Source organism: Homo sapiens, chromosome 2 (assembly GCF_000001405.40).
Source record: "Homo sapiens chromosome 2, GRCh38.p14 Primary Assembly".
Classification (NCBI taxonomy): domain Eukaryota; kingdom Metazoa; phylum Chordata; class Mammalia; order Primates; family Hominidae; genus Homo; species Homo sapiens.
Genome location: NC_000002.12, coordinates 112,170,402 through 112,196,619, shown reverse-complemented (window position 1 = coordinate 112,196,619; position 26,218 = coordinate 112,170,402). Strand labels below are relative to the sequence as shown.

At 45.8% G+C, this 26,218-nt stretch overlaps 1 protein-coding gene across 10 annotated transcripts in view; it reads right to left on the bottom strand.

Annotated features, from left to right (window-relative positions):
* Positions 1-26,218, bottom strand: part of FBLN7 (fibulin 7) — a 106,324-nt gene that overhangs the window by 48,089 nt on the left and 32,017 nt on the right. For 2 of the 10 annotated variants that reach the window (XM_011510585.2, XM_011510587.3), the window contains exons 4-9: positions 20,781-20,906; positions 14,744-14,881; positions 13,692-13,829; positions 11,281-11,419; positions 9,147-9,486; positions 4,417-9,058 (exon numbers count right to left, since the gene is read on the bottom strand). In XM_011510585.2, coding sequence (XP_011508887.1) covers positions 8,984-9,058; positions 9,147-9,486; positions 11,281-11,419; positions 13,692-13,829; positions 14,744-14,881; positions 20,781-20,906 — 956 coding nt within the window. In that variant the 3' untranslated portion in view covers positions 4,417-8,983. Of the gene's footprint in view, positions 1-4,416; positions 9,632-11,280; positions 11,420-13,691; positions 13,830-14,743; positions 14,882-15,674; positions 18,565-20,780; positions 20,907-26,218 lie in introns of those variants that run through there. The other 8 variants (XR_007069507.1, XR_007069508.1, XM_006712260.3 and 5 more) reach the window with 7 other exon arrangements.

Here is a 26,218-nt window from a genome sequence, read left to right as displayed (position 1 = left end):
ACCTTTGATACAGGCCATTCTAGCCTGAGTTTTGCAATTTAAGTAATCAGGCTGGGCACTGTGGCTCACTCCTGTAATCCCAGCACTTTGGGAGGCTGAGGTGGGAGGATCGTGCGAGCCTGAGAGGTGGAGACTGAAGTGGCATGAGAACATGCCACTGCACTGGCATGAGAATATACCACTGCACTCCAGCCTGGGTGACAGAGCAAAACCCTGTCTCAAAAAAAAAAAAAAAAAAAAAAAAAGAAGAAGAAGAAGAAATTAATTTTGGGGGAAGGGTAAGGCAGGTGCACAGAGTCAAATGTGTTCTGTTCCTCAGTCCACAGCATAATCTCCCCATCAATGATAGAGGGATCTTGTCATTTTATTTTCTCCCTTTCTGCCCTGAGTCAGTCAGGATAGTTATGCTGGAGCAACAGACAACCTTAAAATCATTGTGGTTTAAAACAACAAAGAACCATTTTTTGCTCATGCTTTTGTGCCTCATAGATCAGCAGTTCACTGTGATCACTCAGACACCTGAGCTGACAGGGCAACCTCCACACTGAGTGGGGCCATTGGCCATATGAGAGGAGAGAGAACTCTGGGGGTCCCAGCATCTGTGAGTTCCTTGGCCTGGAAGAGACTGGCACCATTTCTGAGCCACCACTGGTCTCAGTGACATGCCCTCCCACGAGGGCACAGAGTGCCAGCCTATCATGGGCCCAGAGGTGGGAGAGGAGGAAGTATTAGGCCAAATTTGCTAATGTCTACCACAAATGCCAACTGTTTTGTGCCTTGTCCATCACCTTGCCCACAGGACAGGCTGGCACTGGAGCTGCCTCAGTGAGCATGCAGACAAGATGCCTGCTCTTGTGGAGCTGGGATGCCAGCAGGTCAGGTCTGTAGGGATGCTTAGAACGGCTGCAAACAAGAACTCCATCTGAAACCTACTTAAATCATAACCACGTTATCTCACATAACAGCAAGTCCAGCATTAGTATGAGAAAGACTCCCTAGAGGGCAATGTTCTTGCCTCCTACAGCTTTCAAGCCCAGGTCTGGCACCCCCTGGGAGCTGGACAGGAATGAAGGAATGGGAGCAGTAAATTACCTTGCCACTCAGGGCCCCAGCAAGGGGTGAGGAGTGAACTCTTCCTATGATGGAGGTTTGCCTGGGTCAGGTGGACAAACGAGTCAAAGAGGCAGAGATCTTTATTTGCAGAAACATGTCTGGCCACTCAGCCAACCATAAGAAAGGAAGGCAAGCTATTGCGTAAGTGCCACCGCATGGCTGAGGTGAATCCTGGCATAAGTAAGCAAGGTATATGACAGAGCACACTTTCCCCCTAAAGAATGCATCTAAAGCGCTCCCTGAGCTAAGAAACTAGATTGCTACGATCTAATTTCTCATTAAACGTGGTCAGATTCAGAAAATCCCATCAGCCCAAATCTAATTTTCATCATCATAGTCTCTTGTTTGCAAGTCAGCTAATATTTCTGTGGTCTGGCCAATGCTGTGTTTTGTTGGAAATCCTCTTTGTGACAAAGGGTGGCCTAAGTTTCTCATTAGACTTCCTCTAATAAGAACCAACTTCTCCATGAATCAAGTGCCAACTTCTCCATGAATTGGTCTTGACTCTTCCAGTGATCCCTTTCCCCCAACTTCTGACCTTGGTGAACCTGCAGCACCACCCACATTGGATTTCTCACTCTGTTTCTACCATTGTTCAAAGTATCCCCTTGTGACAGATGTGGAGATCTTACTTCTGAACTAGAGGGTAAGTTTTATTTTAGGCAGAAATCATTTGTTTGAAAAGAACACCCAAAAGAATGCATGCAAAGGAAGACTGAAAGGACACAGGGCTATCTGATAAAACCCACTGACGGGAAGCCAGGTTGCATGAGGCACTGGAAACCCAAACAGGAAACCAGGAGTGGCGTTTTGAAAATTGGCCCTAAAATCCTTTGAAACCTCTCAGCTCAATTCAATTTAGTAAGTACTCACTGGCCTATGTCCACCTCCCAGGACTCAGTGGCTTCTTGTGACTACTTTGACCAACAGAGTATGGTGGAGGTAACAATATGTGATTGGGTCCTAAAAGGCCACGTAGCTTCCACATTGTTCCCTGGAACACTCATGCTAGTAACACGAGCCACTGTGTTAGAAGCCCAACTACTCTGAGGCCACCTGGCTCAGAGGTGGCTTTATTGGGAGTCTGAACTTGTGCCCAAGGAGAGATATGAGGAAGTCAGACTCAAATGGGTCACTTTCCACCAACCACTGCCTCAGCTTTACCAAGCTCTCCCTGCAGGGAAGGAAAGATGAATTTTTGTGACTCTTAGCTTGTACATATGAAAATCTCTAAGTGTTTACGAGCTGCATAAATATTCCTGAATGTCTGCTGTGTCCTACACACACTGTTCTAGGTGCTAAGCCACATGGAGAGCCCAAGGGTAGATGTTCCAGTTATCGGTCCTAGTCTTTAGGTCATCCCAGCCCAGGCAGACATGTGAGTGACCCTTAGGTAACCCTAGCCCCCAGGCATGGAGTCTTCCCAGCTGAGGGAAGCAAAGACATTGTGGAGCAAATAGAAACTATTCCCCTGTGCTCTCTCTGAACTACTGGCCCACCGAATCCATGATAATTCATAATAAAATAATTGTTTTAAGCCACTAAGTGTTGGGATATTTTATGCAGCAATAAGCAGAACACAAAATTAAATTCTATCCTTCCAAGCCCTATGTTCTATTGTTTCCTTTCTTCCCACATCAGCATCATTGTTCTGTTTGTAGACAAGTTGTCTTTCCCTTGTGCACATGAGCCCAATATGGCCATCCAAAGCTTTACACCACTACCTCATTCAAACACTCAGGAGAGATTCTGAGTCCTAAGGCCAAACTCCTAGGATATGGGATCCAACTGTCATTGCACACGATTACGGTGTTTGCAACACCCAAGTGACGTGGATGATATACATTTGGCCCTCCATACCCACAGGTTCTGCACAATCAACCAACTGCATATCAAAAATATTCAGAAAAAAGGAATAAAAATAACATACGTTTTAAAACGTAGAGCAACTATTTATACAGCATTCACTTTGTATCAGATATTATAAATAATCTATAGATTACTTAAATTATGCAAGAGAATGTGCATAGGCTCTCTTCATATACTATGCCATTTCTGGTTTTTTTTGAGACAGAGTCTTGCTCTGTCACCTAGGCTGGAGTGCAGCAGCGCTATCTCGGCTCACTGCAACCTCCACCTCCTGAGTTCAAGTGATTCTCCTGCCTCAGCCTCCAAGTACTTGGGATTACAGGCATGTGCCACCACACCCAGCTAATTTTTATATTTTTAGTAGAGATGGAGTTTCACCATGTTGGCCAGGCTGGTCTCAAACTCCTGACCTCAGGTGATCCACTCGCCTTGGCCACCCAAAGAGCTGGGATTACAGGTGTGACCCACCGCACCCAGCCCTATGCCATTTTTCTATCAGGGACTTGAGCATCCATGGATTTTGGTATCCATGGGGGGTCCTGGAGCCCATCCTCTGCAGATACCAAGGGATGACTGTAATTACATATATTACACATACATTTACTATATACTGACAAACACCTTTCACTGCTTTTGTTTTTGTAGTTCTCATCCCTCTTTGACATTACACGTTTTTTCATTTACACATCTATTTTCTGTCCCCTTGCCAAAATGTAAGCTCCATGAAGTCAGTGTCTTCAGCAATCTTATCCACTGTAACTTCAGCAAGTAGAACAGTGCCTGGAACGCACTAGACATTCAGGAATATTCACGCAGCTCATAAACACTTAGAGATTTTCATATGTACAAGCTAAGAGTCATAAAAGTTTATCTTTCCATCCCTGCAGTGAGAGCTTGGTAAAGCTGAGGCAGTGGTTGGTGGAAAGTGAGCAACCCATTCGAGGGACTTCCTCTCTCCTTGAGCACATGTTCAGACTCCCAACAAACCCATCAAGTTGACTGTGACTCTGCAGTGGTATTTCATTGTTGGCTTATTTTTCTTTTCGTTTGCTAGTGTTGTAGGTATAATAATTCTTAAAAAGTGATTTTTAAAACCCATCCAGAATCCTAGCTAACTTTCTACTGCTCAAGTGCCCAGGATCTATTTGGCTTGCCTCTTGTCTCTTCCTGGTGGCAGCTGACTGATACCCAGATACCCAAGTCAGGCAGGTGGGCTAGCTGTAGAATACCCCTCCACTCAGGCCTCTCTGTCCTTCCAAAGGAGGGTTTGGTGGGTGGGGCAGATGTGAGAACTGGAGGCGTCACTGGGGCCTTCTTTGATTCAGGAACAAGAATGTTCATACATTGCTGTTGGGGGTGGAAAATAACATAATTCTTACAGAGGAAAAGTTGGCCCTAAAGATACAAAGGCAAAAATACAAAAAGACATATGCATATTGCTGCAATATTTTTAATAGCAAAGGGCTAGAAACAACCCAAATGTCAATCAGGAGTGACTGGTCGAATAAACAATGGTATGCTGTCATAATGAAGCATTACAATGGAAAACATACTATATGGTTCTATGGAGTGACAGCCAATATTTTAAGCAAAATAGAAGGGTCCAGGAAAGTGTGAAATAGCATGCTATCATTTATCATTTGTTTATATTGCTTAAATGGAAGGATAAAAGGGGAAATTTGATTACAGCAGAAGAGAAGCAGGAAATAGGGTGGAGGGAACCGGTCAGAAGATAAACTCTGAATACATTTTGTTCTGTAGATTTGACTTTGGAACCATGTAAATAGTTTACATAATTATAAAACAAAGTTAAAATTAAAAAGCAATCTCTAAAAATTTCAGGAAAATGAAGGAGGTATAATCAGTAAATCCTGATTCTAGTTTGGAGCATGCCACAGAGAGGGGAACCATTCCAAGTAACTTTACAACAGTAAGTTGACTGTCTGTCCCTAATCGCATAAATGCTGAGGACACAAAGAATTGAAGAAAAAAAATGATTTTAGCTGTTTTTAGTTATCACATTTGTGTGTTAAGGTTGGCATTGTTCTTATAAGAATTTTTTTTAATGTGTAGTTATTTTGGTGATGTTTAGAAGGAGGTTTTCAGAATGAGAGAAAGAGAGCAGATAGAGGATCAATGAAGCTATGTTAAAAATGAAAACAAGGCCAGGCGCGGTGGCTATGCCTGTAATCCCAGCACTTTGGGAGGCCGAGGCGGGCAGACCACTTGAGGACAGGAGTTTGAGACCAGCTTGGCCAACGTGGCAAAACCCTGTCTCTACTGAAAATACAAAAATTAGCTAGGTGTGGTGGTGCATGCCTGTAATCCCAGCTACTCAGGAGGCTGAGGCATGAGAATCACTTGAACCCAGGAGGTGGAGGTTGCAGTGAGCCAAGATTGCACCACTGCACTCCAGCCTGGGCAACAGAGCTGGACTCTGTCTCAAAAATAAAATAAAATAAAATAAAACGAAAACACTACAAAAAAATAAAAATTTGCTGGGCATAATGGCATGGACCTGTAGTCCCAGCTACTCAGAGGCTGAGGTGGAAGGATCGCTTGAGCCCAGGAATTTGAGGTTGCAGTGAGCTATGGTTGTACCATTGCAGTCTACTCTGAGTGACACAGAGAGACCCTGTCCCTATGCCAGTTCTCCCCTCTAACTAACAAAAAACCCACAGTAGTCCTGAATTAAATTGGAAGTATCAGCATGAACTCATGTAGTGTTTTATCTTAAAAAATACTAATAATACATATTTCCTAGCTCTAGCCACTAAAGCCAAGAAACTATGATGTAACCACTACCAATGAGCACTCTGAGCACTCAGACCTTGATGTCTAATTACCATCCCCCACTAGAAGGAACCAGGGATTACTGGGAGAAAACAGCTGATTTCAGGGCAGGGGCAGAAAATATACAGGATGAAAAAGACTACTAGGGTCATGTCAAAAGGAATCAGCCACCTCGAAGCAGCTCCCAAGAACCAAAGATAGAACAATTTGAGCAAAAACAAAGACAGTAGCTGTAATTACTATTAATACAGATGATAACACACATGATAACATCAGATATGTTTCAACCATGAGTTCATAATGTACTCAAAGAAGAAAACAACTCTCACAGGGCATGTTGGAAAGATGCCTGTGAACCATCTCATTTTGAAAACTGAAAAATAAAGGGAGGAAAGCCAAGAATCAATCCTACTTTTCTTATACAAACCAAATCTCAGGGTAACCAAATAACTGATGAGAGTGTGTTTCTCTTTATAAAGTATGTCAGCTAATAAACAAAGAAAAAATCAATAGCACTAGAATATTAATTGCAATCCCTACAGAAGTAATGGATCTGTGCAATCTGCGGGGGCTAACATCAGAAAAGAGAGGCAACCAGATATTTTGCTCCTCCTACTGGAAGCATCTGTCACCACCAATAAAGTAGTCTTGCCTAAATAAATCTAACTTGAATCTGACTAACTCTCTAGATTTATAAGAAATAGAGAAGACAGAGATGCACTCAGAAAAACTCATACTGTGAAAAATTCTACAATATAAATGACCCTATATTTTGTCTTCCAACAAACCTTCAGATTATTCCAATATATGCTGAAGTGTGAGACCCACTGCTACAGATTAAAAAAAGGCTTAAAATGCATATCAATAAATCACAGTGCATAGACCTACTGCAAGTAAACAAAAAAATATAAGCCACTCAGAGAAATGTCAACGATGGCTGAATATTTAAAGGTATTAAGGAATTAATGTTTTAGATGTGAATGGCATTTTGGTTATCCTTTTTTTAAAAGTTGTCTTTTAGAGATACATTCTAAAATATTTATAGATGAAATGATAGGATTGGGAATCATCATGAGGTGGGGTGATAGCAGATGAAACAAGTTGGCCATGTGTTCATTGTTGAAGCTACTGATTCAGACATGGGGTTCATTATACTATTCTTTCTACTTTTGCATATGTTTGCAACTTTGCATGATAAAAAGTCTTAAAGCCCCTCCCTCAAATAATATGAAACTATATTACCTGGAAAGGGGTGCAAATGAATTCTGGTTAACCAGTAGTTACTCTTAGTACAGAGTGGAGCTCTGAAAGGACAAAAGAAAAGTTGATTCCATAGAGGAGAGTGAGGAGAGAGCATATAGAGAACAAGACACTCCACAGGGAGAAGTGCCCAGCCATTATCCACAAAAGACCCATCATCCACATCATCCACAAGAAGTGCCCAGCCATCATTGTCCACAGCCATCATCCACATCCTAAGCAGTCAGCCATTTGTACTTTGGTGCTGTGGGCACCGGGGCTGGGTGCGTGATTTCATCAGTGGGAAGCAGGTTTGATGACGGCAGATCTTGGTGATGGAAATTGTTGCTTTAAACTGGGCTGTTTGGCATCAAAGCCCTATCATATACCAGTTTAGAGGGCACCTGCTCTGGAGACTCCCCAAACACTCCCCACCTTCTGGCATGTGAGAGGCTTGTCCCCCTGAACACATCATATCTCAATATATCCCACATATATCCCACATCATATGTCATCATATCTCACATATGATGTGTGTGATGTGTGGGCTGTCCCTAGCCCACAGCTGTGACATCTCCCATTCAGGAACCTGGCCAGGCCCTTAGACTCTTCCGCCTGGTGTTGTGCACATGGGACTGGGTGGTGTGCAGGCTTCTGGCCCAGCATAGCTACATTTAGAAACATAAGGCTGTGGATAATGTTTTAATGAAGTCTTGTAACTTTAGTTTGCATGTCCTTTTTCTGTTGTTAGAGATCGCAGCTGAGCCCATGGGAGAAGAAACATTTCAAAAGCAACTCTTGACTGTGTCTCAACCTTTGTCCAAACAACAGTACAAGAATAAACCATCTTAGAAACCATCTTGATGTAGGGCTTGATCATTGAACTAGTGACACACTTCTGGCTCCATCTCATACCAGGGCAAATACAAAGATTTAAATAAAATATGTGTGAGGAAATCTCACCAGCAGCTTGACATGTAATTAGATAATGAAACTTTCTTACAGCTTCGCTACCTCTTAAGTTTTAGCTTGAATGATCTTCCCCACCCTACCCCATACCCCATCCTACCACACCCCACTCAGCTCTGGCCAGTGTTTTCTCTCTTTGATCACCTGGAGGGCGTCACCCTGTAGTGAATTCATCAGAAACAAAAGGCCATGGAATCTATGACAACTCAAGCATTTTCCTAAACTCTCCACGGCCAGGTATTGTCCTTACCAATCTCCCATGTGGTCAAAACAAATTTATAATGTGGAACAGTCCCAAACATCACCTCTGTGTTCTCTGACTCATTTATTCCAGTGTATCCAACCCAGACAGGAAGAGAGTCAGCCACCCCCTCCTAGAAGGAAGTGGGCTGTCTCATGCTCAGGTAGAAGTCAGGCGGGCAGGAAGGAGCAATCACTTTTATTTTTTCAGTTATATTACCAGGTTATGTATTTGAGATATGATTTCTCAAAAGGGAAGTAACTCAGGCAGAATCCATGCTTTTAACAATGGGTCCTTGGTCTAGAAGGATCTGCGTGGGGTTTAAGGCCCTCCTGTGACTCTCTGATGAGAAGGCAGGCAGGCAGGCATGTCACAGAGGAAAAGGCAGATAAGAACAACGTGCTGGGTCATGGGAGGAGACTCCACTTCCTATGCCACATGCGCAGAGGCATGACTAGGGCCCCCCGCACGACTAGAACCGTTTCATTCATAGCAAGCCTGGCTACAAAAAGGCAGAAGGGCTGATAGTCACCTGACACACATTGCCACCTTTTCTCTCCCCAGCTAGTTCAAACTCACAAGGCCATTTGCACAGCATTTTGGAAAGCCACCCATCCCCTGGATGAAAAAGTTTTAAGAAAGTTAGTGCATAATCTAAGGGAAGGGCCTCAAAGCAGAAAAAAAAAAAGAGTGATGGCAGCAGTTGAGTTTTGTGGCTGCTCTTCCGTGCTATTCCATGGGGCGCCGTGCAACGCTGCCCTAGAAGCCTGGGTGCACTGGTGAGAGGGCGGGAACAGGCGGGAGGCTCCACGCAGTCGGTGCCCGAAGCTGAGCCTTCGGGGAAGAGAAATGAGGTCAGCTCTCCACACCCCAGTGCCCCTGTGTACCCTCAGAAGTCATAGGGGGATACAAAGATGGTGACCTTGGACACGTGGTTGGCCTGGAAGGAGCGGTCCAGGTATTCCGACATGTCGACGTCCACCTCCAGCGTCTGAGGCCCCTCCAGGTTCTGCACAAGGATCAGATCCCCAGTCTGCCGGTCTGAACGCTGCATCACAAAGTGGCCGCGGCTGTTCCCACCCACGATCCCAAACCGCAGGCTGTTGGGCCCAGCTCGGCCGGGGGCAGAGGCTGTGGCCATGCGGAAGAGCGTGATGGGCGTCTTCAGGTTGGAAGGCAGAGAGAGGTAATGGAAGGAGATGGTCTTGGGCAGATGGCGGCAGGGCCTGCTGTCCATGGGGCAGGGGTTCCGCTCACACTGGCTGGAGCGGAGAGGCAAAATGGAGGCAGTCAGCCTTGGGGAGTCTCATGAAGAGCTGCTCTGACCCGGCTGCCCACCTGCCCTCTTGCAGAGGCCACCTAGATGACCTTTCCCAGCCACGGGTCCTTCACCCAGGAGCTATGGAGCTGTGGACGAGTGAATGTAGCTGGTGTCAGGCATGGCAAAGGAAGGGCTGCTGCTTCTGTTCCTGCTCAAGGGTGCTCCCTGCCCACCTGTGTACGTGTGTATGTGTGTGCACATACATTTATTTATGCTATTACTATCATTTTTACAGAAAAATATAGCCTGGGAATATTAAATAACAATGGCAATGCTGATATTCAAACCAGGTGCCCTTTCTCCATGTGCTGCGACCTCGCCCAGTAATGGCAGGACCTCAGCAGTTAGCCAGCAACATCCTGTAATGCAGTGCTTCCCACACGGTGTACGGTGAACTTCCTAAACACAGCAGCATGTATTTTATTTATTTATTTTTAGACAGAGTCTCACTCTGTCGCCCAGGCTGGAGTGCAATGGCATGATCTAGGCTCTCTGCAACCTCCACCTCCCAGGCTCAAGTGATTCTCCTGTCTCAGCCTCCTGGGTAGCTGGGATTACAGGTGCCCACCACCACGCCCAGCTAATTTTTGTATTTTTAGTAGAGACGGGGTTTCACCATGCTGGCCAGGCTGGTCTCGAACTCCTGATCTCAAGGGATCCGCCCTCCTCGGCCTCCCAGAGTGCTCGAATTATAAGCATAAGCCACTGTGCCTGGCCATCACGTGTATTCTCAACGCAGGAAGCCCTGTTTTCCTTAATCATTTGGAAAGAGGGTCTTGTGGAAATGCTTTCGATATTTCTCTATGTTGTTAAAAGACAAATGCAATCTAGTATATTTGGCGATTCTGTAGCATCATGATTATGCAGTCAACTGTCACATCCAGCTGTTGGTCGAATGCCCCAGAGGCCGTCATAGACCCGTTCCCTATCCCTTCACCGAGTGACTTCATGAGGAAGGTTCTGATGTCTTCACTCTCTCTAAAAACTGCCATGCTTCAGTGCCACTAAGTTTCTTGCTGCTTCTAATCTGCTTTAACTCAACAGCAATTCAAATAATTAAGTTACCCTCCATGGCTGTTACTTCATTTTAAAGACAACGCTAGGGCTCTTGTGATCTCTTTTTGAGAGGAAAATGTATGTGCTTTGTGATAGTTGTAGTCATTCCCCTTAAAGGCCCATCTCCCAACTTTAAAAAAAAAAAAAAAAGCTCTACTTGCTGTTTAAGAGTTGCAGTTACTAGATGTAGAACCTTCTAGTACTATTGGAAAAGCAGAGTGATATAATGCAGGGTGCACGGGATATGCAGTGTAACTCAAGGGAGTCTATAGTTCCTGGCTATGTGAATGCTGTCACCTCCCAAATCCATGTGATCTATACCTGTCTCCTGGGCTGCTATGGGTTTATCAGGGTAATGTCACCAACAGCTTCTTCCCTTCAGTGCCTGCCCTGGCTTTGCCATCCTGGGGTGGCAGCAACCCCATCAACCTCTATGTAGTGGGGGTGCACTTAGTATATTACTCCCATGGGGAATGGGGTTCTTATTTCTCCAGAGCAGCAACGCATTAAATGCAACCACTAAGCGGAAATGGAAATTCAGAGACACCAGCCTCCCAGCCTCCTGCCTCTCATCTTTCTATGGTATAACTGTACCTTCTCCCAAGAACCTCTAGGAAGCATCCAGCCCAGCCACACTTGGAGGCCTGGGTGAGGGTGTGCCTCCCCTGGAGATACTCACAATGGAGACGTCTTCACGTAGCTCACATTGCCGCTGCCCTCGGGGCACTCAGGGCTGACACACTGGAAGCTTCCACCGGTGTTGATGCATGTGGTCCCCTGGGGGCACACCGGCTGCAGGCCCACACATTCATCCACATCTGAGATACAGGACATACAACAGGTGAGAATCGCCCTGACCTTCCCTCCATTGCAGACAGAACCACATGAGAGGCCCTGCAGGTCCTGTAATGTGGTGCTCCCTGCTCCTGGCACTTATTCTTAAAGCAGAAAGCCTGCCTTCCTTAACTGTGTGGAATCAGGGCCCTGAGGAAATGCCAGGGAGTGCCCCTCCCTGGGATCCTGTCCTCTTTCCCTGGGGTATGACAGGTGGCAAGGATGGTGGAAAGCACCAGGTGAGTGTTACTGGTCACAATGCTTCTCTTAGACCTGTCTGCTTCTCAGCCCAAGTGCCCCATTACCCTCCATGGCTGTTATTCTTCATATATATATATGTGTGTGTGTATATATATGTATATGGTATATATATATATGTATATATGGTATATATATACACACACCATATATACGTATATATGGTATATATGGTGTGTGTATATATATATACCATATACATATATATACATATACCATATTCATATATATACCATATATACACCATATACAGCATATATATACCATATACCTATATATACTATATATACACACACTTTTTTTAAATTAGAATCTTCTAGAAAGTCTTCCCTGCCAGCCTCACCCCATGCGAGTGCAGACACCTCAATATCATGATTTGTATGAGTTCTCTGCTCCCTTTGCAGACATCCAGAGAGTCTCCCCAGCTGGAGGCCGTCCCTCCCAACCCCAAGCAACCCCAGGTGGGCCTTCGTGAGCACTGTGGGAGGGAGGGAGTGTGGGTGGCTATCTGGATGCCTTCTCCTGCTCCAGCCCCAGGTCACCCACTCCTCAGAGCCCTGCAGCGGGGCCCCAATGGGATGTCACCGGGGAGCCACCTCTCCCCTCACATTCCCACGTCAGCCCATGGAGGAGCCCTCTGCCCTCTCTTCTCCCGTTCTCCCTTGGTGGGTCAGAGCTGTTATCTGGAGCCAGCGGGGCTCCCCTCTGTGTCCTGTTTCCATGGGGGAAGTCCAGCTGGGGAGGTGGGCCTGTCCACCCTCCTAGTGTGAGGTATGCCTGCAGGAGCAGAACCAGCCCCCCGAAAGGCCCACTGCAGCATGGTGGTTTAAGGGCCAAGGGTCAGGATGATCCCACTTGGGCTTCAGGCCTGAGATGTGTGCTCTGACTCAGCTCATGTGGAGATTCAGCATGTCTACATCAACTGACATCTGTATTTTCCCTAAGTGGAGGTGGGGAAACACAGGAGGCTTCCTGTTAGGCACCCAGTGTCCCTGGGACTTGTCCTGTAGTGATGATGGTGACTGTTGCGAGGGTTCTCAGCCTCTCTGTTCTACAACCAACCCACTCTGCACACATCCTTCCTAATCTCTTAGGTGCCTCCCATCCCTGCTGCAGACATTCCTTGTCAACTTAAGATGTTCTTTCCCACTCTGCCAGGAATCAGCCTCAGAAACCTCAACCCGGCCCTCCAGGAAACCACTGCTGATGGACAGGATTCAGCACTGGGGTGAAACCTGAGCCAGTTATTTTCCATCTGCGCCGCTGCCCCCCAACCCACTCTCTGCACCTGAGAGGCTGACTGGTTTTTAGCTGGGGTTGGCAAATGACAGTGACCCAGCCTGAGGAGTCCTGACCTGCCTGGATGTGGTTCTGATGGAGGCTGTGTCCTTGATCAGAGCCACAATCTTTCAGGCTCTGATAAGCCCCCTCACTTCCTGTACCTCACAAGCCAGGGGTAGTGATGCCCCCGACTCTTGTCCCTCCCTGGGTGCTCCGCCTCCCTTGTTGTCCTCAGCTACCATCAGACAAGGCTGGTGCTGTAGCGCCCGACCTCACTAAGACATAAGTGCCTGTAAGGTGCTGCCCCTTTCAGAGGTGGACTTACAGGTGGACACAGGGTCATGGAGTCTCATGGGTTCCTCCAGATTACATGACATGGGTGACCACCTGGCCACTCTGCCTTTAGGCCCAGCCCTAGCTGAAGGAATTGTTGAGTGGGTAGAATTGACCAGACCTTGAAGAAAACAAAAAACCCATTTACTCAAATAAAGTCGGAAAAGACTAGTTGCCAAGATGTTTAAGGAACTCATTTTCCTATTTATGTAGATGATAATGTGGCCTGACCTTTGAGAAGCCCTTTGGTTGGTGGCTTTTTAAAAATCCAATGTATCTGAAACTGTGACTCTCCTAACCACCTCACTCCCGACTGTGAGGTCCTGGGGGTTCAGCACAGCAGCAGGTGGCTGGGTGCAGACGACACTCTGTAGCCTCACTCACCCTCACAGCTCTTCCCGTCAGCCAGAGTTCGGTATCCACCGGGGCAGGTGCAACGGTAAGAGCCCGGGGTGTTCACGCAGGCGTGCATGCAGAGCCGGGGGCGCCCCTCCTGCCCGTAGAGCTCACACTCGTTCACGTCTGCAGACAGAAGTGCTCACTGTGACTTTAGGAGCCATGCAGCAAGTGTTGCCAGCTGTGACCCAGAACAATCATGCTTCAATTCCTGGAGGCAGTGGCAGCTGCAGTTAAGTGGCTGGGCCTCGGGCAGCCGCCATGCCCTACCCCCAGCAGAGCACTCACAAGAGGAGCAGGTGTGCTTCCCTTTCTCCTAAGCCGAGGGCCCAGAGGGCTAAAAGGAGGAGTGAGAGGGAGCTGAAGTGCTAGGCCCTAGAAAGGCATCACTGTCTTAGGCTGAAGACACCTGGGGAGACCCTGCAGAGGCTGGCAAATCAAGCCTATTCCCAGAAAGTAGGGATGGGTTAACAGCCCCATGTTAACTCTCTTTATCTTTGGGAATCCTCCTTTCTGTGCTGTAAAATGAGGCTATTAGCACCAACTGACCAGATCTCAGCTTTGAACTCCTGCTTTGCGTTGTTTGGGGAGAGAACTCTGGTAATCAGGAGAGCACAGCAAAACTGAGCCGTCAGGAAAGCTAAGCCCAGAGGGGACCAAGGAATGAGTCCCACACCCCTACCCAGCTCCGGGCCCGCTCTACCAACACGGCGATTTAAGCTCCTCCTTGCCACCCGTAGACGTGATTCCAGCCAGGGCGGAGGGGATGGAGGGTCTCAAGGCTCTCCTGAACCAAGCGCGTGTGGCTTGGGCATAGGCTGGACCAGGTTCTGAGGCGGGGCGAGCTCTGATTTCTGTGAATTAGCTGCCTTCTAGCCATCACTAGGTCAACACTTACCTATAATGCAAAGTGGCCAGGCCTTCTGAGACCGCGCGCAGGAAGCCACCCGTGCCGGCAGGAGGGCGGTGGGTGAGAGCCCCTTCCCCGCCCCATGTCCTCCCCGTGCTGTCCCCAGTGTCCTGGCGGAGCCCGCGCCTACCCTGGCAGACGCTGTCGCCGGCGGCGCCGCTCAGGTGGAATCCGGCCTCGCAGCTGCAGTGCTGAGCCCGCTCCACCTGCGCACAGCGCGGCGCGCGGCTGAAGGCGGAGTCGCCGGCCACGCTGCCCTCGGGGGCGGCTGCGGGGAGAAGACACGCTCAGTGCCGGGCCCTGGCGCACCTGCCGTGGGCCCGACCTTGGGTAGGGGCCGGGAGCAGAACCAAGACGGAGGCACGGCCCCTTCTCAAAGGGCTTACTCTGGAGTAGGGAAAGGAGAGACAAGTAATCAACCACAGACCCAGACGACCCGTCCAGGGCCTACGCGAAGGGGGCGCGGGAAAGGAAGCGCCCTGGAATAGAATGGTGCAGGAAAATGCAGGCCACCAAGCCGCACCCCGAGAAGGACAGCTGGGGCAAATCCACGTCTTCACTTAAAAAGACTTGAACACCCCAAAATTCTAACGGTGATCACTAGAGTTTAAAACCATGGGCCACTATTTTTTGTTTCTTTGTGTGTGTGTGTGTATTCTTTATTTTATTATTTTTAATTTTAGGTTTGAAGACCTTCAACATGTGAAGGTTTGTTACATAGATAAACACGTGTCACAGGGGGTTATTGTACACATCACCCAGGTATTAAGCCCAGTACCCAATAGTTACCTTTTCTGCTCCTCTCCCTCCTCCCCAACCCCTCAAGTAGACCCAGTGTCTGTTGTTTCCTTCTTTGTGTTCATAAGTTGTTATCAATTAACTCCCAGTTATAAGTGAGAACATGCCGTATTTGGTTTTCTGTTCCTATGTTAGTTTGCCAAGGATGGTAGCCTCCAGCTCCATCCATGTTTCCACAAAAGACATGATCTCATTCTTTTTTGTGGCTGCGTAATATTCCATGGTGTATATGTCCCACATTTTCTTTTCTTTTTTTTCTTTCGTTTTTTTTTTTTTTTTTTTTTTTGAGACAGAGTCTCACTCTGTCGCCCAGGCTGGAGTGCAGTGGCACGATCTCCGCTCACTGCGAGCTCTGCCTCCCGGGTTCATGCCATTCTCCTGCCTCAGCCTCCTAAGTAGCTGGGACTACAGGCGCCCGCCACCACACCGGGCAAATTTTTTTGTATTTTTTTAGTAGAGACGGGGTTTCACCATGTTAGCCAGGATGGTCTTGATCTCCTGACTTCGTGATCTGCCCACCTCGGCCTCCCAAAGTGCTGGAATTACAGGCGTGAGCCACCACGCCCAGCCCCATGTACCGCATTTTCTTTATCCAGTCTGTTATTGACGAGCATTTAGGTTGGTTCCATGTCTTTGCTATTGTGAACAGTGCTGCAACAAATATTCGAGTGCATGTGTCTTTATGGTAGAATGTTTTGTGTTGCTCTGGGTATATACCCAGTAATAGGATTGCTGGGTCAAGTGGTAGTTCTGCTTTTAGCTCTTTGAGGAATCACCATACTGCTTTCCACAATGGTTGAACTAATTTACACTCCCACCAACAGTGTATAAGGGTTTCCTTTTCTCCACAACCTCTCCAGGATCGGTTACTTTTTGGCTTTTTAATAATAGCCATTCTGAGGGGTGTGAGATAGTATCTCATACCAGATAGTTTTGATTTGCATTTCTTTAATCATCAGTGATATGGAGCTTTTTTTTCCATATGCTTGTTGGCCTGTTGTAGGTTTTCTTTTGAGAAGTTTCTGTTCATGTACGTTGCCCACTTTTTAATGGGGTTGTTTGTTTTTCTCTTGTAAATTTAAGTTCCTTATAGACGCTGGATATTAGACCTTTGTCAGATGCATAGTTTGCAAATATTTTCTCCCATTCTGTAGGTTGTCTGTTTACTCCTTTGATACTTTCTTTTGCTATGCAGAAGCTCTTAAGTTTAATTAGAATCCGTTTGTCAATTTTTGCTTTTGTTGTAATTGCTTTTGGTATCTTTGTCATGAAATCTTTGTCCATTCCTCTGTCAGGATGGTATTGCCTACGTTGTCTTCCAGGGTTTTTGTAGTTTTGGATTTTACATCTAACTCTTTAATCCATCTTGAGTTGATTTTTGTCTGTGGTGTAAGAAGTGGTTCAGTTTCAGTCTTCTGCATATGGCTAGCCAGTTATCCCAGCACCATTTATTGAATAGGAGTCTTTTCCCCATTCTTGTTTTTGTCAGCTTGGTCAAAGATCAGATGGTCATAGATGTGTGGCCTTATTTCTGTGCTCTCTATTCCGTTCCATTGGTCTACGTGCCTGTTTTTGTACCAGTACCATGCTGTTTTGGTCACTGTAGCCTTGTGGTATAGTTTGAAGTTGGGTAATGTGATTCCTTTAGCTTTGTTCTTTTTGCTTAGGATTGCCTTGGGTATTCAGGATCTTTTTGGGTTCCATATGCATGTTAAAGTAATTTTTTTCTAGTTCTGTGAAGAATGTCTTTGGTAGTTTGATAGGAATAGCATTGAATCTGTAAGTTGTTTTGGGCAGTGTAGCCATTTTAATGATATTGATTCTTTGTATCCATAAGCATGGAATGTTTTTTCATTTGTCTGTGTCTTCTCTGATTTTTTTGAGCCATGTTTTGTAATTCTCATTATAGAGATCTTTCACCTCCCTGGTTAGCTGTATTCCTAGGTATTTTATTTGTGTGTGTGTGGCAAATTGTGAATAGGATTGTCTTTCTGATTTGGCTCTCAGTTTGGTTGTTGTTGGTATATAGGAATGCTAGTGATTTTTCTACATTGATTTTGTATCCTGCAACTTTGCTGAAGTTGTTTATCAGTTGAAGGAACTTTTGGGCCGAGACTTTGGGATTTTCTAGATATAGAATCATGTCATCTGCAAACAGAGATAGTTTGATTTCCTCTCTTCCTATTTGGATGCGCTTTATTTCTTTCTCTCGCCTGTTGCTCTCGCCAGGACTTCCAATACTACGTTGAATAGAAGTGATGAGAAAGGGCATCCCTGTCTTATGCCAGTTTTCAAGGAGAATGCCCATTCCGTACAATGTTGGCTGTGAGTTTGTCATAGATGGCTCTTATTATTTTGAGGTCTGTTCCTTCAATACCTAGTTTGTTGAGAGTTTTTAACATGAAGAGATGTTGAATTTCATCAAAAGCCTTTTTGCATATATTGAGATAATCATGTAGTTTTGCTTTTAGTTCTGTTTATGTGATGAATCACATTTATTGATTTTTATATGTTGAATCAACCTTGTATCCCGGGGAGGAAGCCTACTTGATCATGGTGGATTCGCTTTTTCATGTGCTGCTGGATTTGGTTTGCAAGTATTTTGTTGAGGATTTTTGTATCAATGTTCATCAAGGATATTGGCCTGACATTTTCTTTTTTTGTTGTGTCTCTGCCAGGTTTTGGTATCGAGATGACTCTGGCCTCATCGAATAAGTTGGGGAGAGGTCCATCCTCCTCAGTTTTTTGGAATAGTTTCTGTAGGAATGGTACCAGCTCTTCTTTGTACATCTGGTAGAATTTGGCTGTGAATCCGTCAGGTCCTGGGCTTTTTTTGGTTGGTAGGCTATTTATGACCAATTCAATTTCAGAGCTCATTATTGGTCTGTTCATGGGCCACTATTTTTTGTTCCTGGTTTTTTTTTGTTTGTTTTCTTTTGGTTTTTTTTTTTGTATTTCTTGTACTTTTCTAAAGTGTTCACATTTTTGGTTTTTGCCAGGAACATAAATTTCTCTTTCTCTCTCTCTCTTTCTTTCTTTTTGAGACAGAGTCTCGCTGTGTCACCCAGGCTGGAGTGCAGTGGCACGATCTCGGCTTACTGCAGCCTCTGTCTCCCGCATTCAAATGATTCTCCTGCCTCTGCCTCTGAACAGCTGGAATTACAGGTGCACGTCACCACACCCTGCTATTTTTTTTTTTTGTATTGTTAGTAGAGACAGGGTTTTACCATGTTGGCCAGGCTGGTCTCAAACTCCCAACCTCAAATGATCCACCCACCTCAGCCTCCCAAAGTGCTGGGATTACAGGCATGAGTCATCATGCTTGGCCAAATTATATTTCTAATCAGGAAAAAATGTTATTTTTCTGAAAGTTTTTCAAGGATTGATGGGAATCAAACACAAGTGGACAAATCCTGCATGATTCTACTTAGATGAGGTCCCTAGAGCAGTCAGACTCACAGAGACAGAAAGAAGAATGAATGGTGATTACCAGGGGCTGTGGGGAGGGCAATGGGGAGTTGTCCTGTTATGGGTACAGAAGCTCAGTTTTGCAAGACAAAAAGAATTCTGGAGCTGGATGGTGGTGATGGTCGCACAACAATGTGAATGTGATTAATGCCACTGAGCTGTACAGTTAAAAAGGATGAAACTGGTAAATTTTATGTTATATATATGTTTTATCATCATAAAAAATAGGGTGAATGGATTTTTAAAAAAGGAATTGGAGGGATGCTCCTCCAGGGAACTGGAAAGGCATGGGCCAGCTGATGGGAAGGAAGGTGTCAGGCTGAGGGACAAGGTGAGCAAGAGCCCAGATGCGTGATGGCTGTTCATGGAGACTATGAGGATAGGAGCTGGCTTTGGATATGCCTGCTTGCTTCCCCTCCTTCCCATTCCTGGGGAAGATTCTGGCCATGGGGACACTTTATAACAGGCCCCCCTGGACCTGAGCAACAATTGTCTAAAGATCCTTGGGCGGGCATGGTGGCTCACACCTGTAATCCCAGCACTTTTGGAGGGCAAGGCAGGCAGATCACTTGAGGTCAGGAGTTGGAGACCAGCCTGGCCAACATGGTGAAACCCCGTTTCTACTAAAAATACAAATATTAGGCAGGAGTGGTGACAGACACCTGTAATCCCAGCTACTCGGGAGGCTGAGGCAGGAGAATCACTTGAACTCAGGAGGCGGAGGTTGCAGTGAGCTGAGATGGTGCCACTGCACACTCCAGCCTGGGCAACAGAGTGAGACTCCCATCTTAAAAAAAAAAAAAAAATCCCACAGTGGGAGGAAACCCTAAAGAGTGGGGTTTAGAACATTCAGTGACCAGGACTGGCATATTTAGGGCAGAAGGGAACCCATTTCTTTTTCCCTCTTGTTTGTAAACAAGGGGAGAGGCAGTGAGGTCTCCAAGAAAGCCCTGTCTCTGGCCTCAGTTTCCATAGAAAGCAGTTCCAGGGACAGGAGCTGTAAGGGGCCTCTGAGCTCGGGAGGACAGCCTCATTTTGAGAAAGTGCCCAGCCAGCTGACTCAGCTGAACTGAATCAGGGCATATTAAGCAGCAAATCTCTTGGGGCACTATTTAAACCTGAGCTTGGGCTGGGTCCAGTGCCAGGATCATAAGTATTGATAAAGCTCTTATCCACTGGACACTGCACTAGCCCCAATGTCCCTTCCCCCCACAGATATTTCATACAGAAATAAAGACAAACAGGCATAACACACCAGACTTTTGTGGCTAAGGAATAGGATATCTTTGGGGCTGAATGAAATCTTGGTTGCATCATGGTGCGGGAACCCCTGTCCATCCTCCACAGATTCCTTATCACTGGATTTTCTTGCCATATGCAAAACCAGGCACCACGTGACTTCTTAGACTCTCTGGGTCGAGATATGTTGAGACTCAAGATGTGAATAGTAATCTCAAAACCAGTCAAATGTATAGTTATCCAGCTCTCAAAATACTTGGGCCTGCATCAATAGCTGCTAATTTTGCAAGATGTAATGGGAACACTGGAAAGAAAAGGTGGTTCTGCTGGCGTAAGAAATGCTGACCAAGCAAAGGTGGCAACAGTGAAACTTCTTGGGCCACATTCCCAATCTAGGGGATTTTTACGTTGGGAGTCAGTTCTTGCGCTTGTGTTTTCTACTATAAGAAGGGTCAAAACTCTGGTTGCATCAAAGAGCTAAGCTCTGTCAAGTGACCACCTTAGAAAACCAGAGGGATCGGTGGATGTGAAACAGAGAGGAAAAGCTACATCTTTGAGTGGGGGACTGAGCTCCCTACATGTCTGCATTTGGGGACCTATGCCTAGGGTCCTCCTCTCCCCACAGCAGGATGTCCTCACCTAACCCCATGGTGGCTACATACCAGTCTGGGCCTGATGCTGACAGCGGTTCCCAGTCCTTCCTGGAGGACAAATGCATCTGTACTGGTTGACTCCTTCTACACATGTACCACCATTTTGACAAGGCTGGCTGGAGCATTCACTGATACCTAGGAAGATAAATAATTTTCAAATATACGGATGTGAGTTCTAGGTCTAAAACAAATACAATAAAAAACTGATGAAGGGTTAACTTCCTTTACATTGTAGGAGAACTCCCACTTTCTACCTGACCCCACCCACTCTTTCCACCCTCTCCACCCGCAAGAGCTGCCAGGGGGCCGATGGGGCTGATATGCAGCCCTATTGCATCTCCATTCAGCAGGCCCTGCACCCAGGCACACACTGCCCACCTGGGGCTCTGCATGCAGGAGCTGGCCTATGAGCTGGCCATACCCCACCCACAGGCACCATTTTCTAATTTGCAAAGGTGCAGTGTAGACAGCTGTAGCCAGACAGAAGTGGCTACCTGTGGGCATCTGCCCACATTGCCTTTGAGTCAGGCCCTGTAACCCACAACCCTTCTGCTCCATCAGCCAGCACCTGGGAGAAACATTTTTAAACAGGAACAAAATTCAGTGCAGTTATAAAGGGGAGGGATGGCCCACTGGAATGTCCAGGGTTGGGGAAAATGAATTCTCCAAATTCCCAACCAGAAGCCCTACTGTGCTTGACCAGGTAAGAGTTTTTTGACATTTCCTTAACATTGGTAAAGGGAGACGTTCCTTGCTCATCTACACGACACTTCTGTGGAAAAGGTCTTTGTAGAGAGAGATTGTTATTTTAAAAAGCTCAGTAGACTTTTTTTCTCTGAGTGGTAGGCTTACAGGTGATTTTTCTTTGCTAGTTTATAATTTTTTGTATTCTTCCCTTTTCCCATAATAATCATGTATACATTTTTTTTAATTAGAAAAAAAATGATTGTTTTAAAACCTAGAGGTCACATGTTAGCTGGGCATGGTGGTATGTGCCTGTAATCCCAGCTACTTGGGAGTCTGAGGCAGGAGAATCGCTTGAACCCGGGAGGCGGAGGTTGCAGTGAGCCGAGATCCCACCACTGCACTCCAGCCTGGGTGACAGAATGAGACTCCGTCTCAAAAACAAAAAACCAACCAACCAAACAAACAAAAAAAACCCCATAGGCCACATGTGCTTGTTATGAATTCCCTAAGCCCAGTTTTAGTGCACAGAAATAGGCCATTTCCATCAGAGAGAGGCTTGTCAGTTCACTGACTTGACCACATTATCTTCGGAAAGAAAACTGAAAACACCTCCTTGTTGGCATAAAAGCAGCCTTTCCTGTGTGTCTATCAAGAGGAAGAAAAACAGGTGCTTTGCTCCTAATGAGAACGACAGACTTGTTTTGGGTGGAATGGGAGGGACTTAGGCTTCCCTTAAGCCTCCTGGAGATTGGGATGTCATTAGACTCTTAAACAGTTTCTATTTGTTGCAAAAAGACAGACCACCCGAATGCTGCTCATCCCTAGAGAAGGAGCCATTTCAGTTTCTCAGTAACCTCAGCCTGGTTGCACTGTCCCTCATACATTCTGTTTGCAGAAGACCGGTTTCCAGGAATGTGTCTGAAATGACTGTACACAAATGCTTGGGGTTGCTTAGAGCTTGGGGTTACTGTTATCCCTTGTCCAGCTCCATGGTTGCCCACCAGCGTAGTCTGGAAGTGGGCAGATCACTAGGCCGTGAAGTTGTGGGCAGAGAGCCAGAAAATGTGAACACCAGTATCTTGTAGCTTGGCCCCAGTAGGGCCAGTGCTGTGGTCTCTCCTTTGCTGCCTGCCAAAAGAAGGCATTGAGCCTGATCTGTACCTGAACCATGTGGATGGGTGTTGGGGATCATCGGTGCAGCAGAGAAACGCACAGCTGTCCCAGGACCGTACACTCTGTCTCCCTCTCTGGATCCACCCAGTGTATTCATTTCTAGACAGGCTGCATTCAGACTCTCTTTATCTGTTATCTTGATATGCAATCAGAGGCATCCAATGGCCTGATGTCCAGCCCGGCACCCACTCTGTGTCCTGATTGAAGTACAGTTGTCATCACACGCACGTATGTCCCAGGCTGTGGCATTCAGTCAAGTGCATGGCAGGGGCTGGCAAGCCAAAGCCCAGATGATAATTCTGCTTTCATCTGCTGTTTCGTGAAGGTGAAACTTCACGTAAGTAAGTTTCATCTTACTGTTTTCATGAAGCCTAGCTAAGGATTTTATATGCATGACCGAACTTTTTTCTTTTATTTCTAATTCCTTCCTGACTTTTTTCTTTTATTTCTAATTCCTTCCTGACTTTTTTCTTTTATTTCTAATTCCTTCCTGGGTTCTATCAACTCATTTCCTGTTTTTCATTTTTCCAATCACCTCATTTTTGAGTGTTTTCTCATTTTTATCTAAACTGTTCTTTCCTTGCTTTTATCTTTTAAACATTTCTTTCAGCTTGTGATACTCTAGGTTATAGTTTTTATCTGTTTTATGGCCATGTCTTTCCGGCATTTCTTTATTGTCTATAGAAATTTTACTCTTTTTTTATAATATCCTCTAAGGAATTTGTCAAGAATCCTTTTCATTACTCATAATTAAGTGAAATGTTTTCCATATAGCTTTGCTAACTTCATGACTCTGAAATTCTCACTTCACTTCTGTTGTTTTTCCAACGTGAGCAAACACAGGGCCTCACACTTTCTCAGCTCTGCCTCCTTTGCACTTTTGTCTGGATGACCATCTCTTTCATTTGCACCTATTTTCCTTGTTGTGCACAGTTTGGACTCTCCTCCCGTTAAAGTCTCCTTAATATTAAGACTTTGCCCTGGAAAATTTTGGAGGTTCCTGTGGGGCAGGCTGTTCCAGCCACTGAAACTTCCTATTGAAAAGACGAACTTACAGCCAGGTGTGGTGGCTCACACCTGTAATCCCAGCACTTTGGGAGGTTGAGGCGGGTGGATCACTTGAGGCCAGGAGTTCAAGACCAGCCTGGCCAACATGGCGAAACCTTGTCTTTATTAAAAATACAAAAAATTAGCCGGGCATGGTGGTGGGCACCTGTAGTTCCAGCTACTTGGGAGGCTGAGGCAGGAGAATCGCTTGAAGCCAGGAGGCAGAGGTTGCATGAGCCAAGATCGCGCCACTACTCTCCAGTCTGGGCAACAGAGTGAGACTCTGTCTCAAAAAAAAAAAAAAAAAAAAAAAAGAAAGAAAAAGAAAAGGTGAATTCCATACCTGAGAAAACTGACCCAGAAAGGCTGGCACTGAGACAGATCCTAATCAAATGACTGAATTTTAAAGAAAAAGAATATATTTTGGGGGCATTCAGGCAAAAAGACAAATATAGTAGCACAATAGCATCAGTTTAAAACAGAAGACACAGAGTGACATAAGATACTCAAGAAAAATGTGAGATAGGTGTTTTATATCCAATGGAACTAACAACCAGTAAAAAAGCTGCACACTTTTTGAAAGTGGGAAAACTCAGGAAATTGCTCTAACTAAACAGACATCAGATAAGGATGGTAGTGACACTCGCTGAGGCAGAAGAGACATTATCAACCAATTCTAAGTTATAAAACTGATTTTGACCCTGATTCAAACAAAGTGTTAAAAAAGTGTGAGACAATTGGGGGAATTTTTACTCTAATTAGATATTGATGATGTTAAGGAATTTGCTGTGTTAATCACTGGATTTTAGGTACATAAGTTCATTCTACTATTCTCTGTAGTTTGGTGTGTTTGAAACTTTCCATAGTGAAAAAATCTTTTAAGATGCTTAATGGTCGGGTGCGGTGGCTAGCGCCGCCTGTAATCCTAGCACTTTGGGAGGCCGAGGCAGGCGGATCATGAGGTCAGGAGATCGAGACCATCCTGGCTAACACGGTGAAACCCTGTCTTTACTAAAAATACAAAAAAATTAGCCGGGTATGGTGGCGGGCACCTGTAGTCCCAGCTACTCGGGAGGCTGAGGCAGGAGAATGGCATGAACCCAGGAGGCAGAGCTTGCAGTGAGCCAAGATTGTGCCATTTAATAAAGCCTAGAATAGCCCTTAGGAGGAAGTGCTTCCTAATCATAAAGAGTTACATTTAGAAAGAAGAGGTAATGAAAAATTGCTCACGTTAATATCTATACACAGATGATACTGAATATGTGCGACTTGGATGTATGTGTATGTGCTTAGATAAAAGACTAGAAGGAAATTCATCTTTTTTTCATTAATTTAATCATTTGGTAAATCAGCCAGCCAGTCAGTTACTCAGTAACTATTTATTGAGTGTCTACTATATATTTAAAAGGCAGCTCTTTCTACTCAAATCTTTTTTTTAAAGGTCTCGGGGGAAAGGCCTCATGATACAGAAGGTGAGGTGGACTGAAGCTCTGCTCCCTTCTCACTGCAAAATGCCCTTCCAAAACTCCATCCAGCACCACTGGCCCTGCTTTCCACAGCCTCCCCGAAGTCTGCCTCTCCCGGCCCCTCCTGTCTCCTTTCGCCCTCCTCCTTCTCCATTTGACTTCTCAGTGCCCTGCAGGTCTCTGCCTGAGTCACGTTTCTGTCTCCATCCTCTCCTTGCAGGTCCTCCTTCCACTGCCTATGGATTTCAGTACTATCTTATGCAAATAACTCCCAACTGGGTACCTCCAACCCTTCTGCTGCCTTGAGCTCCAGACGATGTCTACCCATCTAGGGTGGAATGAATGGATCTCCACTAGGGTGTCTGTCGCACAGCCATTTTAACGTAATATGTCCAAAATGGAATTCTGATCAATGACCCACACACGAGCTGTTTAAAAACAAACCACATCCATCGCTCAGTCTTCATCATCTCTGTAAATGACACCCGGCACACCATCATCCAAGCCTGAGCCTGGGAGCCTTGATTTCTCCTCCTGGCTCACAGCCCACATGGGATGGCAGCAAATTCCATCAGTTCTGTCTCTAAAAATACCTAGAATCTCCGCTGCCACAATCTCTCCCCTGGACTTCTGCAATAGCCACCTATGTGTTTTCCCAGCTTCCATTCTTGTCATCTCCAATGCATTCTCTATGCAGCAGCGACACTTGTCTTAACCCTGTTTATTGGGCTTAGAACTAAAATCCCACCACCTGCATGGCCCATGACTACAGTGCTGGCCTGCGTGTCTCTCCACCTCACCTGGCTCACTCTCAGCTCATATAATCTCCAGCAACAAGGTTCTATAATTTCATTTTTCATTTCTTCAATTGTGCCAAATTCTTCCCTTCCCTGGGGGTCTTTGCTCATTCTCCTTCCTTTTCTTTTCTTTTTTTTTTTTTTTCACTTTCGAGACAGGGTCTCACTCTGTCACCCAGGCTGGAGTGCAGTAGCATGATCTCGACTCACTGCAATCTCTGCCTCCCGGGTTCAAGTGATTCTCCCAGCTCAGCCTCCAGAGTAGCTGGGATTACAG